Genomic DNA, 16,975 nt, shown 5'->3' on the forward strand with positions numbered 1-16,975 from the left:
ACTGCATCTCCTTCCCACCCCCATGTGGCTACCCCCATAGAATGGCGCATCCACGTAGATGGCCCAGATGTTGGGTTTAAGGGAGAGAGAGAAAGGAAGTTTGGGGCATCTGTTTATGAGAGAAAATCGTCAGCCGTGCGTGGAAATCTTATGCATAGCAAATAAATGATGGGCAAATACCCACTTGCATATTCAGAGGCACATTTCAGATGTGAACATCCTGTCTCACCAAAACAACCCCAGCTAAGAAGTTCCGTCGGGGGTGGAGGACTTTTTCCAAGCCTTTGTTTCTGTGGAGTCTCTGTGCATGGCCTGCTGTGATGAGGTAGGGGTTGACCCAGAAGTCTAAGGAGGCCACCACCCCGTAGGAAAGAGGAGCCAGCAGACAGCAGCGCCGGGGGTTATTGGGGACCCCCAAATGGGGAAAGGTAGGGGTGTAGACAAAATCAGCAGCCCTGTCTGTATTTGACAAGCAGGGCAAGGAGGAAGAAAGCTCAAGGAGAGCGATGTGGAGGTGACTCGATGACAGGGTCAGTGCAGGTGAGGGGAGTGGGCTACCCATTAATTCCCAGGAGCATGGTGGTCTTCCCAGCCCAGCCACACAGCTGCTAAGGGATCTTGCTTTCTGAGGAGTGTCTCTAATCGGGGCATTTGATTTACAGCAGCATTTCTGGGCTCCAATCAGGCATCTCATCCACAGAACATAAACCAGATTAAGAAGCTCTCTGAAGCATATTTGAAGTCAGTGACAGTTGAAAGGATATTAAAGTTTTGACTTCAAACTAGCTTAGCCAGGGCACACGGAGCAGGCAATACAGGTCTTCCTCCTGCCAGGAGAACCTTTACCATTCCCCGTGAAGGTCAGGATTGTTGGTTCAGGTGCGGGGACAAGGTGGGGTGGACTCCTACGCAAAATAATCTGTGTTGGTGGCAATGTCAGGTGATCCTCCAGCAGCTCAGGAAAAATAAACTCTTCCTATGGCCGTTTCTTTTCCCTCGGTTCTGAACGGGAGGAGGACACTGGGATGCCTGTTTGTGTTCTATGACTCTAGCCTCTAGGGTCATTCCTCAGGCCCCATTGCCAAAGAAAAATCATGGCTGTGTTGGTGGTCTCATCTGGCCTCATATTACCATAGGCTGGCTGGAAGCACAGCTGGGTACAGAGTCTGATTTTGAACAAAACTGTCACCTCTTTTGTCCCTTGGCAACATCCCTCAGTGCCACATAAGGTTTGTTTTTGTGTACCTGATTCACCATCTGTCTCAGGGTTAGCAATCCAAGTTCTGAAATCATCTGGGCTTCACAAGCATGATTAGCTGTTGATCTGGCTTCTGTTGACTCTAAACCCCGGGTTGGGGGATTACAGATGTACCTAAGCAGCCTGTGCAGTGGGGCCAGACGCCTCCGTGGGTACAGCATGTCCAGGATCGTTGCTGTCTGTTGCTGGGCTCACCACCCCAGCAAGGAGGAGGTCACGCAAGGGAACACAGAGCTTGTAGTCAGAAAACAGGGGTGCTTGTCAGGTCACCTCTCTGAACCTCAGATCTCTCTCGTGTAAGGGGCTGGCCCCTTCGAGAGGCTCAGTGTGGAATAAAATGGCTCTTATCGCAGTGGGCTTGGCAGCCCGCCACTCCTCATCTTTGCTGGTGGAACCTCTAGTTGGTTTCGGTGTCCACCCTCCTCCACGCTGGGAGTGTGTTCAGGATGAGGATCCCATCCCCGTGCACGGGGTCAAGTCTGATTGGAGGCGATCATTTCTGGCTGTCACATTCCTTAGACCAGGGCTCAGTCTAGAGCGAGCAAGTATTTTAGGCCTGGCCAGTGAGGCAAAGATAATGCCTGCTGGGGCCTTCTGAAAAAAATTTCCTTAAAAAGAGGCTCAAAGAAGAGAGATGTCTCTTTTCTTTGGCTGGACGTTATTAGGACTAGATGTGATGCCTGTGACTACGTGAACCATCTTGTGAATGTGACAGCCTGGGGACAGAGCTTGCACACTGGGGATGCAAGATCAGGGAGATATTAATAGAAAGGACGTGGGTCACTGCTAGGAGCTGTGGCTCTTGCGCACTCGCCATCCCTGGCCTCACCCTGCTGTAGAACTTCTTGATACGTGAAATAATACAAAGTCCTTATTGTTTCAACAATTCAGAAGTGCTGGCTTCTGTGACTTGCAGATCAGTTCACCCTAAATGCCCTGCTCCTCCAAGTGGCCCCAGCATCATCAGCATGGGGAGCTTGTGGGAAATGCAGACTCTGAGGCTCTCCCCACCCCCCCGCAGCATCACCCTCTGTTCCTTAGTGAGATCCCCAGGCACTTCGTGTGCATACTGACGTCTGAGAAGCTCCGCCGATGGGTTTACTTTTTGTCCAACGTGTTCTGTGGAGGAGGACTTGGGTTTTGACAATACTGGGTTCAATTTTTTCTCGAGACAGAGTAGGAGGTGTTAGCTATGCAGATTTTGAAATCTCAGCTGTGTCAAGGAATTGGGGAAAAGCTCAGGGAGGAAGGTGGAGGGCCTAGCTGGTCTCTAAAATAAAATTATGAGAGAGTTGTTTATTAGTTTCTGCTTTACCCAACCATTTTTCATTGACTCGTGTTTGGGTACCACATCGATTTTAATCTAAAGCCGTGACTACAGTAAAATCTCATTAATTCAGGCCTCACCAATTTTGAAGTGATAATTTAAATGGAGGCTGGGCTGGCTGGCGTGAGAGCAGGATTGAGAGCAAACTGTTCTGAAGGACTTGGGCCCACCAGGTGGGTGCAACGAGATGCTTCCAATTATAAACGACCCTTGGTGTGTTTGAGTTCAGCAGGAGCCACACTTGGAAATCAATCCATCAACAAAGAGTTATTGAGTGTCCCTTATGCAAACGTCCCCGGCTGGCAGAACACACTTGGTTAGAAGTTACTTTTAATCATTACCCATGCTGGAAGTATCAGATTTCTTTAGGAAATGCCATTTCTTAAGCAGCCTGTGTTCCTATCCTAGGCCACCTTCCCCACGTGTGCCAGAGCACTTTGCTCTTGAACAGCCCCCTCTCTCTCCCCCGTGTCAATTCCTCTTTACCCTCCAAGGTGTTTATAACTTGCTGTAGGAACTCTTGGATTGTAAAATAACATGAAGTCCCTATTGTTTCAGCCATTCAGAAGTGCTGGCTTCTGTGACTTGCAGATTAGTGCACCCTAAATGCCCTGCTCCTCCAAGTGGTCCCAGCAGTGTCACTGTGGGGAGCTTGTGGGAAATGCAGACTCTGAGGCTCTGTTCCTTAACAAGATACCCAGGTACTGGGTGTGCACACTGAAGTTTGTTTCTATCCTTTTAGAAAGAGCTCTCTGATCTTGATTCTATACTCTCCTCCAGCCACACCCTATTTTCCTGCTTCCCTTTGTCTCCTCTAAGAGTTGCCTGCTCCCGTCTCCAGCTGTCCTCCATTTTCATTCAAACACACTGAAATTCAGCTTCCATGGCGCCCCGTTTCCATATGCATGCATGGCCTGAGGCCACGCACTCATAGTCTCTCCTCTCCGCTTGCTGTCCGCATCAGCCACCTTGCACATGCTTGGTCACTCTCCTTTTCTGGAAAGACTTTCTTGCTTGTCCTCTAGGACAAACTCTTGATTCTCTGTGAAGCTCATGGGTCACTCTGGCTCCGTCGTCTTTGTGGCTTCTCCTCTTCTGAGCTCTGGGTGTTGGGCTGCAGGACCCGTTCCTCCCTCTCTCCTGGGTAAGTGGTGGAGAGTGTGGCTTTGAGCGCCTGTTGGAATGCCGATGGGCTCCATGTTTATATTTCTGCCTGGGTTGCTGCCCCACCCAACTGGTCCCCTCACTGCCCCACTGCCCCTACCTACCTCATGACTTCTCGTCTGAAGGGGTTCATCCCAGGAGGTTTGCTTCTTGGGTAAATTTCAACTCCATTCTTCCTTGGGCCCCGGGCAAAACTCTCGGAGGATCCTTTCTCTGTCTCACACCTTACATCTAATCCACCAGCAAGTCCCCTTGGGCCTGCCTTTGAAGCATAGTCTGAATCTGGCCATTTGTCGCACCTCCATCACTGTCTCTTGAGTCCACGTCACCATTCCATTTCCCCTGATCATAGACCATCCACTTCTCATGGCTCCCCGGCCCTGTCATCTCACCCTAGAGGCTTTTCTTTGCCAGGTAATCCGTGGGATCCTGTGAAAACCTCAGTCAGGTCATGCTGCTCTCTGGTCAGATCTTCCTATGGCCTCCCTCTCACTTGGGGTAAAGTCCCACGTCCTTCCCGTGGCCTCGAGGGCCTGCACCTTCCTGTTCCCAGCCAGCCCCACGGGGCTCCCTGCTCTTCCTCCATTGCCACAAATGCGTGTTTCAGCCCAGATGGTTGACACGTGCTTTCCTCGATTTCCATGACTGGTTTCCCTCCGACGGGCTCACTCCTACTTTATTTGATCTCTACTCAAAGGTCTCCTACTTTATTTTCCAGCGTGATGGTTTTGCCACCTTGCCTGTGAGATATTTATGTGTTTCCTGCCTGTGACTCCTTCTGGAATGGAGGAGCTTCAAGGGCAGGGCCTGGGTTGTTTTGGTTCCTGTAGCACCCTCCACCCCCAGGAAGCATTTCTCAAATGAGCAAGTATGCCTGCCCGTGGAACTTTTCTGAATTTGGGCTGAACTTTTCTGGCCTAGACAAAAGAGGAGGACTTTGGAGAGGATGCAGAGTGGAGCCTTCCATTCTTCCCTGGTGAGCTCTCAGGGCAGTGCCCATATGGTGTGCCAAGCCTAGGAGACACTCCTTCGCTGTAGCCAGCCTGGCACTGGCTGGATGCTGGGCTGCCTATCCTGGGGGCCGTGGCCCAGTGTGAGGCGTTTGCAACCGTGCGTGTGCAGCACATGTGCGTGCCCACACATGTGGGGTGTGGTCTGCATCCAGAAGCAGACATTTATGTAAATTTTCATTTATGTAAGCACATAAATGAAAAGATGATCACAGATTGTGACAAATGCCACAAAGAAAATAAATAGGGTAATGCAATAGTCACAGTGAGGAGGGATACTAATTAGGTGTTTTTTAAAAAATCAGGTATAATTACATATGGTAAAATGTACAGACCAGGTGTTTACTTTGATGAGCAGTGGCCAGCGTGCATACTCCTGTCCCTGCAAGGGTATGGAACACTTCCTCTTCCATCTGTCTTCCCTGCTGTCCCTCCCCAGTCATTCCTAGAAGGGACCCCTAGATGACTGGCCAGGGAAGGCCTCTCTGAAGAGGTAGCATCTGAATTGAGCCCTGAAGGAATAGGAGGAGGTGGCCACAGGAGACCTGGGGGACAGTGCCCAGATGGAGGATGGTCCAGGAGGCAGCATGGCAGAGAGGAGTGGCTGAGACAGAGCCGCAGTGTGAGCTGGCTGGTGGGCAGACCACGTTGGCCCTTGCCAGCTAGGGGGATGCACCTGGCCTTTATTCTCCATGAGATGGTAGCCACTTGTTGGGGGGCTGGGGATGGCAGAGGCAGTGTGACCAGGTCAGAGGTGGTGGTGGCTCAGGCCGGGGAAGTGGTAAGAAATGGATGTACTTTAAAACACTTTTTATTTTGAAATTATTTATTTATTTATTTGAGATGGAGTCTCGCTCTGTCCCCCAGGCTGGAGTGCAGTGGTGCAATCTTGGCTCACTGCAACCTCCACCTCCCGGGTTCAAGCTATTCTCCTGCCTCAGCCTCCTGAGTAGCTGGTATTATAGGCGCCCGCCACCACACCTGGCTAATTTTTGTATTTTTGGTAGAGACGGGGTTTCACCCGTTGTTGGCCAGGCTAGTCTCGAACTCCTGACCTCAGGTGATCCGCCAGCCTTGGCCTCCCAAAGTGCTGGGATTATAGGCATGAGCCACCGTGCCTGGCCTATTTTGAAATAATTTTAGACTCACAGGAAGTTACAAACGTGGTGCAGAGTTTTCCCGTGGTTCCTACACCTCTCTTCTACTGATAGCACCTTATGGAAGCACAGTGCCTTATTCAGCTGTCATCAGTTTTTGCATGCATTTGTGTGTGTGTATGTTGTGTATGTATGTGTGTGCATGTGCATGTGTGTATGTGTGTGTTGTGTGTGTGTATCTAGTTCTGTGCCGTTTTATCACCTGTGTAGATGCATGGAACCCCCAACGCTAACAAGACACAGAACTGGGCCTGGTGTGGTGGCTCACGCCTATAATCCCAGCACTTTGGGAGGCTGAGGCGGGTGGATCACCTGAGGTCAGGAGTTTGAGACCAGCCTGGCCAACATGATGAAACCCTCTACTAAAAATATAAAAATTAGCAGAATGTGGTGGCGGGCGCCTGTAATCCTAGCTACTCAGGAGGCTGAGGCAGGAGAATTGCTTGAATCCGGGAGGCAGAAGTTGCAGTGAGCCGAGATCACGCCACTGCACTCCAGCCTGGGTGACAGAGTGAGTCTCTGGCTCAAACAGACAAACAAACAAACAACACAGAACTGTGTAGCCCCGTGAAGTTGCTGCCTGTGTGGCCCCTTCATGGTCGTAGCCCACCTCCCTAACCTCTGGCCAGCACTCATTGGTTCTCCACCTCTGTAATTTCGTCATTTGGAGAATGCTATACATTGACTCACACGGTGTGCAGGATTGGCCTTTTTCATTTCACTCAGCACAAAGTCCCTGAGATTCCTGTATGTTATTGGTGCATCCCATGCTCGTTCCTCCTTCTGGCTGAGTAGAACTCCATGGGGGGCTTACCTATCCACCTGTTGAAGGACATTTATACCATTTATCCTATTAACTAGACTCAGACCATATGCAGACTTCAGGATTCCTGATGGACGTTGGACCAGAGCCAGCAGCCCTTGGGTTGGGTGTGGTTAGAGCAGAAATGAACCACCTGGCCTTGGTTTCCTCATTTGTAAGATGGGCATAAGAACAGTACTTCCCACACAGCCTTGACGATGGGATTCAGGGAGCTAGGAAGGGCCTGGCACTTGGTAAGAAGCTGACCAACATTTGCTGTTATTAAAGAGACAGGGCCATTAATATGCTTGGAGGAGAGAAGGTTCTCTTGGGTGGGTGTCGTGAGAGGCATAGCATTTAAGCCGGGCCTGGAAGCACATTACTGGCTTCAGCATCGTGTTCCTTTTCTCCCTGTGTTTTTCCAGCAAGATGTGAACTGTCGTAGCCATTGGAAGGTGTGAGGGTTTGCAAAGTGTGAAAGGGCCCCTAAGTTTCCAGGGTGCACTGAACTGCTGGCATCCGGCCTGGCACTCTGAGCAAACAGACACCTGATGGTTCTCTCTTCACCCTACACATTGCTGGGGCGAGGCCCAGAAAAAGAAGTTTGAGGCGTTTGGCTTCCCTCCCCTCCTAATGAGCAAGACAGGCTGTGTGAACATGTCCTGTGGATGTGGGTGCACCTTGGGGCTTCTAAACGCCAAAGGCACTTTGGAAAGGCAAGGTGCTCTGTCTGGTGGCGCTTGATGGTGATGTTGGAAGCTGCTGGTAATGTGATTAATCCAAATTTGAGTCCCAGAGATGAAAAATGCCCCAAACTCACCCTGGGTATGGACACATCTGTGCCTTTGGTGTTTAATGGATATTCTGAATGGTTCTTGGGTGGGAGGTCTGGGAGTTGGGGACAGTTTTCTAGCCTCTGCTTTCAGGACTCAGGAACCTAGTGTCTGGGTGGGGCGCTTGGCCCTGACACTTTCTGCCAGTGGGACTTTGACAATGGCTGAGCTCTGTGAGCCCCTGTTTCCTCATCTGAAAGGAGGGCTAGTAATCCTCTTATCACAGCTGGTTGTGAGGCCTGAGTAAATGGGCGTGGAAGCATGTGGTGCATGGTAGGTGCTCAGTAAACATGAGATGTGTCTCGCTCAGTAAACATGAGATGTGTCTGAATCCATCTCCCTTTGAAACACTCTTTTGTGGGCAAGGTTGAAGGAAATGCTAGACTCCCAGCATTAACCTTCCAGCATCCATCTTGGGTCTTGGGACCACTTCTTGGTCTGGAGTTGGAAAAGGCGTCCTCTCTGCCCCTTCCTTTCATATGTTTGAAAACAGCTTTGTGGTCATCAGTACCCAAGTCACCATTTCTGTACTTCACGTTCATCTCCAGCTCACATTCTGATGTCCTCGGAGGACAGGAACCACACTCCTAATAAAGGATTCCTACTAATAGTCAGCTCCCGCACTAAAGCCAGGGTCCTGGTCCAGGTGTGATAGCCTTCATGTGTGTCAGCTCAGGGGGTCCTTGGGAGAGCTTCTCATGGTGGGTGTCATCACCTCTGACTTGACAGAGGGGAGGTGGAATTCCTTACTTACTGATACATGCCAGTGTGTCTGGCTCCAGAAGTCTTGGCCTCGAGGGGTTTCTTGCTGCCTACTCTGCCCTGCACCCCATGGTGGTCCTTTCCCGTTTGTCTTCCACTCTACAGACCCCAGCCCCGTGCAGGTGTCCCTCTGAGCACCGGGATCCTTAAGGAGTGGCCTGGGCTAGAGCAAGGAGGCCTGCTCCTTGGCACATTTTTAAGGGAGTAAGGGATTGAGTGGGTGATGGGTACAGCCCCAGGGAGGTGTGAAGCAGCACCTGCAGGCATGGCAGGGACCGCCTTGTGAGCCCTTGTCTCCAGGGCGTGAGACAGATTTATCTCTATCCATCCAGGCATGGCCAGGTCTTTAGAGTGCTGGCATTCTTTGTGCCTCATTAAATTGCTCTTTTCTTCTTAAAATGAAAACTGTTTTCATTGTACTTTTTTTCATTATAAAAATGGTACATGATCACTGTAAAGAATTCAAAGCACACAGGAAAGCATAAAGATAAAAATTAAAATCCCTCCAGTTCTCTCCACATAGGGGTAACATTCTGGATGCCTCTTCTTTGGTGTCTCACTGTGCACAGCACACATACACCCCATTGTATGAGAAATTTCACACAAGTGGGAACATTGTCCTGTGCTGTTCTGTAACTTGCTGTTTTTTTTCTGCACAATAATATGATAGAGTCATCTTTGTGAGTTAAAAAATAAAAACTGTAGCATTCTATCAGCATTTTAAATGACTGCCTTGCATTTCAGCGATGTCCCATAATTTAGTTGCTCAAGTTTCTTCTTGTTGGAGGTTTAACTCTTTTTTTTTTTTTTTTTGGCCATTGTCTGACTTCAGTAAACTGTCTTGTATATGCCTATAGTGAATGTGTTTGATTATGTTGTCAGGAAAAATTTTCTAGACGATTAATCGCTGTGCCCATATTGCCAAGCTGGTCTCCAGAAAGTTTACTATTTCACATGCCCATCAACAGGGCTGGAGGAGGCCTCTTCCCTGCAGCCTTGCCAAGCCCAGCTTTGGCAATATCTCACCTTCTTCTCAGTCTGGTGGATAAAAAATGACATCTCATCTTCACCTGCTTTTCTTTTGATGATCAGAGAGGTGAAGTATCTCTTCATAGGCTCCTTGGACATTGGCATGGCTTCTGGAAATGTCTTTGCCTATTTTTTTTTCAATTGGGCACCTTGTCTTTTTCATACTTTTTTGTAATCACCAGATTGCTACACTGGTGAATTAACTTGAATCCTCAGCAAACTTTCAACTTCATCTCAAGCACCCCTCAGCTGGAAGAAGGTGAGCTGGTCAGGGCTGAAGGCCGCTTCTCCAGCCTTGCTGGCCCGGGTGAGCTGTGCCAAGAGCCAGCTGGGCTGAGGCTCCACTCTGCTGAGGCTCCCAAGGCCTGACAGTGGCCCATTACACTGCTGACCACAGCTGGAAGCTTCTCAACTGACCTGTTAGGGTATGTTCAACCTCTGGTCCTGCATGACGTCCGTAGGATCACTTTGGGCAGTTGCTATGCTCCGGTCCTGCATGACGTCCGTAGGATCACTTTGGGCAGTTGCTATGCTCCGGTCCTGCATGACGTCCGTAGGATCACTTTGGGCAGTTGCTATGCTCTGGTCCTGCATGACGTCCGTAGGATCACTTTGGGCAGTTGCTATGCTCCGGTCCTGCATGACGTCCGTAGGATCACTTTGGGCAGTTGCTATGCTCCGGTCCTGCATGACGTCCGTAGGATCACTTTGGGCAGTTGCTATGCTCCGGTCCTGCATGACGTCCATAGGATCACTTTGGGCAGTTGCTATGCTCTGGTCCTGCATGACGTCCGTAGGATCACTTTGGGCAGTTGCTATGCTCTGGTCCTGCATGACGTCCATAGGATCACTTTGGGCAGTTGCTATGCTTGTTTTTCCAGTAGGAAAACACACCTCCCCCGTCAAGTTCTTATCCAAACTCAATTTTTGTGATAATTTAAAGCAATGTATATGAATGCAGGTCTGTCCATAGGCATCTCCATGCAGAACCAGATGGCCCTGCCCATGGGCAGAACAAGTGGCCCCGTGTGTGCCTCAATTTGACAGTTGCCAAGGAGGAAAAGGGAATAGAAAGCATGGATTTTGGGTTATGGGTGTAGGGCTGGGGACACAACAAGCAGCAGATAAAGGCTGGTTGACCAAGTGAGGAAGAAGCACATGCTGGAGTCCAGGGGTCAGAGACTCAAGAGCTCATCTCCCTGCATTCTGTCATTTTCCAGCTTGGAAACAGACACTCAGAGAAGGGAGGCAGCTCAGCGGCAAGGACGAGCCCTGGAGCAAGAGTGCATGCCTCCCCCTGGCTCTCTGCTCCTTTAGGCCCTACTTGACTTCCATGCTGCTCACTCTCAGGTCCCAGAGAAGAGCGCATCATTGCCATCAAGTGCAGGTCACTGGTCAGCAGTGCCGTGGGATAAGACGATGATAAGCACATGCCTTCTGGGCTTGGCCCATGGTGGGGCTGCTGCTCTTTGGGGCCCTGATATGGGAACACCTCACAGCTCAGATGCTCCTCCTTGGTTCCCAGCAGATGTCTTGGGCATGTTTCTGGGTCAGCTTCCTGCTGGCTTCTCAGTGGCATTGAGGACCACCCCAGAACCCTCTAATGTGGACTATCATGCCCAGAATCTTGCTGAATGGTGGACAGAAAGCAGTGGCTGTAGCAGCCAGCAGATCCCCTGCTCCCCTCCTGCTCTCCCTCCCTACCAAAGAGGACTCGAAGTAGCAGAACCCAGGCCCAAAGCAGTCCCTCTATCCACGGTGATCTTGTGTCCTTGTTCGGTTATTTTCTTGTCTCTTGTCTGTATTTCCTTATGGGGACTGTGCCATCCTGCTCATCACTGTCACCCAGCACCAAGGACAGTGCCTGACATGTAGAACGTCATTGATTGCTGAATAAATGAGGAACAAGGAGACTGAAGGGAAAACAGCTGCATGGGTCTTTCTTTATCCGCTTTTCTCTCTTGACCTTTAAGCAGATGGAAACTGTGGGCTTTCTCTTTAGTCTACTCTGAGAAGCTACAGGTGAGATACTGGACCTCTCAGAGACCTGAGAAGGACAAGAGAAACCCAGCGGTCCCACCATGGGCCAAGCCAGAAGGCATGTGTTTATTGTCGTCTTGGCTCAAGACACTGTTCTCACATGCTTGGCTCCCCATAGACTGGCTGCGTGGTCCTTCTGTTCCCAACCTCTCTGTGCTCATCTGGGATGGGAGCGTCTGTAGTCTTCCTCACAGAGCCCTGGAGCCACATGGGTTGGGGTGGAATCTCAACTTTGCTTCTTACTAACCGTACAATCTTGGGGAAGTCATTCGATCTCTTTGTGCCTCAGGTTCCTCTTATAAATGAGACTAATGAAAGCACCTGGCTTAGAGGGTTGTGGTGAGGATTGAGGAATACCATGCATGACAGGTATCCACCTCCACTGGCCCCTTCCCCTCCAAGATGGAAAAAAAACCATCTGCATGGCAGCAGGAACATTGATTACTGGTTCCTCTACACCAGCTACCCCAGCAGTCCTCTTTCAGCCTCTCGGTAGCTCTAAGGAATAACGACTATTATTATTCTTGTTGACCCATAAGGAAAATAAGCCACAGAGAAGGGACTCACACAAGATCACTGGGCTCATGTTCTACTGTTGCTGTAGAAAATTACTACAAATTTAGCAGCTTGAAGCAACACCCATTTATTATCTCACAATCTGTTTGTCAGAGGTCCAGGAATAGCATGTCTCAGCTGGTTCCCTGCTCTGAGTCTTACAAAGGTAAAATCAAGAAGTTGGCAGAGCTGGGTGTGGCAACTCATGCCTGGAATCCCAGCACTTTGGAGGCGAGATTGGGAGGATCACTTGAGCCCAGCAGTTTGAGATCAGCCTTGGCAACATAGTAAGCCTCCATCTCTACACAAAATAATAAAAAAAAAATCCAGGCAGCTGGGCGCAGTGGCTCACGCCTGTAATCCCAGCACTTTGGGAGGCCGAGGCGGGCAGATCATGAGGTCAAGAGATCGAGACCATCCTGGCTAACGTGATGAAACCCTGTCTCTACTAAAAATACAAAAAATTAGCCAGGCGTGGTGGCGGGTGCCTGTAGTCCCAGCTACTCAGGAGGCTGAGGCAGGAGAATGGTGTGAACCCGGGGGGCGGAGCTGGCAGTGAGCCGAGACTGTGCCACTGCACTCCAGCCTGGGTGACAGAGCGAGACTCCATCTCAAAAAAAAATAATAATAATAATCCAGGCATGATGGTGCATGCCTGTGATCCCAGTTATTAGGTTGGTGCAAAAGTAATTGCGGTTTTTGCCATGACTTTCAGTGGCCACAGTTACTTTTGCACCAACCCAATACTTGGGAGGCTGAGGTGGGAGGATTGCTTGAACCCAGGAATTTGAGGCTGCAGTGATCCATGATGGCACCACTGCACTTCAGCTTGGGCAACGGAGCAAGACCCTGTCTCAAAAAAAGTCAGTAGGCTGTGTTCCTTACTGGAAGCCCTGGGGAAGAATCCACTTCCAAGCTTATTCAGCTTGTCATCAGAATTGAATTCCACGTGGTTGGGGGACTGAGGTCCCTGTTTTCTTACTAACTGTGGACTGAATACATTGTCAAGGTCTAGAGGCTGCCTCATTCCTTGGCTCATGGCCCCCTTCAAGGCCAGCATAGGCTGTCAAGTCCTTCTCATGCTTCGAGTCTCTCTTCCTTCCCCTCCTGCCTCATCTCCTACCCTCTGCTGCTGCTTCATTGCCCTGCCTTTCTCTTCTGCTTTTAAGGGTTCATGTGATTACTTCAGCCCCAACTTTATAATTGAGAGTATTTTTCCTATCTTAAAGTGAGCTAATTTGTAACCTTAATTCCATCTGCAAAGTCCTTTTGCAGCGGTACCTAGATTAAAGTTTGATTGAATAACCAGGGGATGTGGTTAGAATTCTGCCTTCCACATTACCCAGAAAGTAAATGGTGGGACAGGACACCAGCTCTGTCCTGAGATCCTGGAGCTCAAGATACCCTCTGACACCCAACTGTTGCTGCACCTGCATGTTCATGTTTAAACCTGCCATGATCCTTTGCGGTAGATACTGTAGCTCCCTCTTGATTGCAGTCCAAAACCTCCCCCCTCCTCTGAGCTTTCATCCTGATATTTGGCTCATTCTAGGATAAAATGTTGGAATTTGGCCATATTCTTTTCTTCCTCACCAGACTCCAGATTTCTGTAAGGCAACATAGCAGAGGCTACAAGTTGTCCCCCAAAATCTTTTTTCCTTTCTATCTCATAGCAACAGATCCCCCAGGTTTTATCTGGGCACGTGGTTACCCGGAATAGAAATAAAACTTTCTACCTTCTCTTGCAGCTAGGGATGGCCTGATGACTAAATTCTGGTGAAAGAGCTGTGATCAGGAAAGAGTTATGCAGTTTTCATGTCCCAACCTTAAAGGGAAGGGGTGCATCCACCTTCCACCCCTTTGTTCCTCCTGGAATAAGCTGGTGAAGCACCTTGGACTATGTGGGCAAGGGCATTTGTTAGGGAGAAAGAGCAACCAGTTAGAAGGAGCCTGGGTCTTTGACTTTGTGGATCCATCACCCACCTCTGGACTGTCTGTGTTGTGATTATTATACAGAAGAAAAATAAACATTCATCTTGCTTAAGCCACTGTTATTTGGGGTCTCTATTACAAAACCCAAACTTTCATCCCAAGACAGGCAAAATCCAGATTTTTTAGAAGTTATATGCACTAATATGCCTTTAATATGCTTCCAATACATCTTTTTTTTTTTTTTGTGATCAATGAAGCGCTGTATACAAGATGAAAAATACCTTGCCTTTCTCACTACATTTTGTGTAATCAGTCTCTATTTCTGTTCACCAATGATGTCAGGTTGGAGAACAGGGAGTGCCAAGATGTTACTTGACATCTCTGGGTCCTCAGAGGTGGTCAACTTCAAACTCAGACCTTTTTAGGTTCTCTTGGTGGCTCAAACTTTATGGGGTTATCAAAGCTGGAGTCTGCATCAGCTCTCTGCCCCTGGAAGAGTTTCCTTTAATTCCGTAGAAGTTGAGCTGACACAGGGTTAGGGATTCTTGTGTGGAATGGAAGTTGCAAAGCCAGAGTCAACCTGCAGTTTTTAACCTTTGGTTTATGGCAGTATCATGAACATGGCCACATCCTGGCAGAAGCTCCAGGCAGGTGGGAGTGGTGCCAGCAGAGCATTTATAGCAACCAGCACTGGGTGGAGGGACCTGGCAGTGCCCATGTGTTCCCTGGGGCACAGCTGTGTTATTCTAAGATAGGCCTACTCTGACCCTGTGTCACATCCTAAGCCCTTCATTTCAATTCCTGTGTCATTTCTGCACCCACCCCCCAATTCCAAGACTGTGGCCCCTTCCTCACTTGCTATCCCAGAGAAAATTGCTAAGTTCCTTTGGACTTCATGCATTGGTTACCTGCTTTCAGAAATGCATTATTTCCCAAATCCCAAACACCAGGTGTTAAATGTGTATGAATTACTTGACATATTTAATTGCAGGATTAATGCTGAGACACAGTAATGTATTTAGGGACACATTAGATGTATTATTTTAAAACTGTGATTAACACCGATTTTGGAGCATTTTGGAAGACTAATTAAATGATTGAAAACCACATTCTGGCATTGCAATGTTTGTTCAACAAAAACATTTGTGGAAATTAGGTGTAATTCAACCACCTCATTATACAATTAGTTGTTTAATTCTGTCTGCAGGCGTTTGAGGTCATAATCAGGATGAAGCTGTGGCTTCTGGGGCATGACTGGGCTTTAGGATGGGTCTCCCCGCTTTCCATGGTGCTGACAGGCTCCTCACTTTCAGGGTGCTGAGTGGCTCCCCATGTTTTATGGTGCTGTCTTCCCCTGCCACTAGTCTCTTCTGCCATCCTTCAGTCTCGCTGGCCCCCGTCCCCTGATCACTGTGCTTGTTTGCACCTCACTGCACTCTTGCTTGCTCTCTGCTCTGCCTGTGAGGTCATTGTTACTGTTGTTCAACAAATATTTTTGGTTTTTCTCACAAGCACATAATAGATTATGCTCCATTCCCACACCCCCTCAAAGTTAGGTCTCCCTAGTAACTAAGGCGATGTGGGCAGAGGGACACGTGCCATTTCTGGGCAAAAGCTTTTAGAACCCTGTGGAAGTTACACCTTTTCTTTTCCTTTGCCATGGCAACTGGAGATTGTCCAGACAGCAGCTTCTCCATCAATCTGGGGTCTTGAAGTTACCTGCTTATGGACCTGAAGTATAAAGCAGAAACAAACGTTTATTGTTTTAGGCCACTGGGACTTGGAGTGGCTTGATTCTGCAGCATGATCTAACTGGCCCTGATGGACACAGCCAGTGGATGTTCCCTTGGATTTTTCCTTGATCTTTACTCTCTTATTTTTCAGACTGTTCGCAAATCCCCTCCTCAGAGAGGTCCTCTCCGTCCATTTCCCCAGAGCCACTTTCAATTCTGTTTCCTTCTCTTTTTTTTTTGACAGCGGTTACTGCCTTCTGACATTATTTTATTTACATTTATAAATAACGTGACAATTTATAAATAAAGTGTTTCTCTATCTCTGTAATTTTGTCATTTGGAGAATGTTATACGTTGAATCATACAGTGTGCGGGACTGTTATTTTCTGCTTAGGCCTTGAGGTTCATCCAACTTGCTGGGTATAACAGTGGTTCCTTCCTTTTTATTGTTGAATAGTATTTCTATGGTGTGGATGTACTATGGTTTATTTAATCATTTACCTGTTGAAGGGCATTTATTTATATCTATAAATACAGTCCACTTACTGTATTTCATTATCTCTGAGATGGAAACTTGAAATAAAAATAATTTTTATTTTCCATTCTTGTTTCTGTTTTTCTGTTTTTACTCCACCCAGCCCCCCTAAAGTTTTTAACATGATTGCTTTTCTGAAATCAGGATGGCTCTTAGAGTCCACAGTGTGCTATTCAGGCCATGACACAGGTGAATTACCTGTGCAGGTGTGAACAACCAAATGACCAGTGAACACATGTAACTAATACTCAACTGACCAGCATCAGTGCACTGGAAAAGAATCCGAGATTGGACAATGGAGCCCTCTTTTAACCCCTATGAATGTCATGGATGTGGGGACAGACTGGAGGACTGGAGCAAGTCAAATATGTTTAGTGACATTGCTGAAGTCAGAACCGAAGCAGAAAAACTGTATATAATTTTAAAGAGTCCTCAAAGCCCAGCACTCTTGACTTTCAATCTTTTTATGGATTCTTTGAAGAAATGCCGTATAATCAGTGCTCGTGGATGAATGCACAGAGGATGATAGAGCATGGAAAAACCCCAAACATTGATGAGTCTGAATTGAACAGTGATTCAGAAGAATTGGACTCAGTGTAAAGTAGTTTGAGGAATAACAACCAAGTTATTTCACTTGTATTTTCATTTTTATGTATGCACAATAGTAATATGTGATAAAAATCTGTCTAATTAAGTCTCAAAGAACTCTTACAATAAGTAAAATTAAAAATTCTAAATGATAAGAATGCATTGTGTCATGGTTTAATTGGCAGTGTATTTTTCTTTCACAGGGGAACAAAAAATAATGGTGCTTCTTGCAATTGTGTTTCTCAGAGGT

The 16,975-nt window shown here is 48.1% G+C and overlaps 1 protein-coding gene across 2 annotated transcripts in view; it reads left to right on the forward strand.

Annotated features, from left to right (window-relative positions):
- The first annotated feature begins 207 nt into the window (after positions 1-207).
- The window catches only part of ZNF831 (zinc finger protein 831), a 135,726-nt gene continuing 118,958 nt past the window's right edge, over positions 208-16,975 (forward strand). For both annotated transcript variants that reach the window (XM_047439881.1, NM_001384354.1), the window contains exon 1: positions 208-325. The gene's annotated coding sequence lies outside the window, so the exon portion shown is untranslated. The remainder of the gene's footprint in view (positions 326-16,975) is intronic.

This window comes from Homo sapiens, chromosome 20, assembly GCF_000001405.40.
Source record: "Homo sapiens chromosome 20, GRCh38.p14 Primary Assembly".
Lineage (NCBI taxonomy): Eukaryota > Metazoa > Chordata > Mammalia > Primates > Hominidae > Homo > Homo sapiens.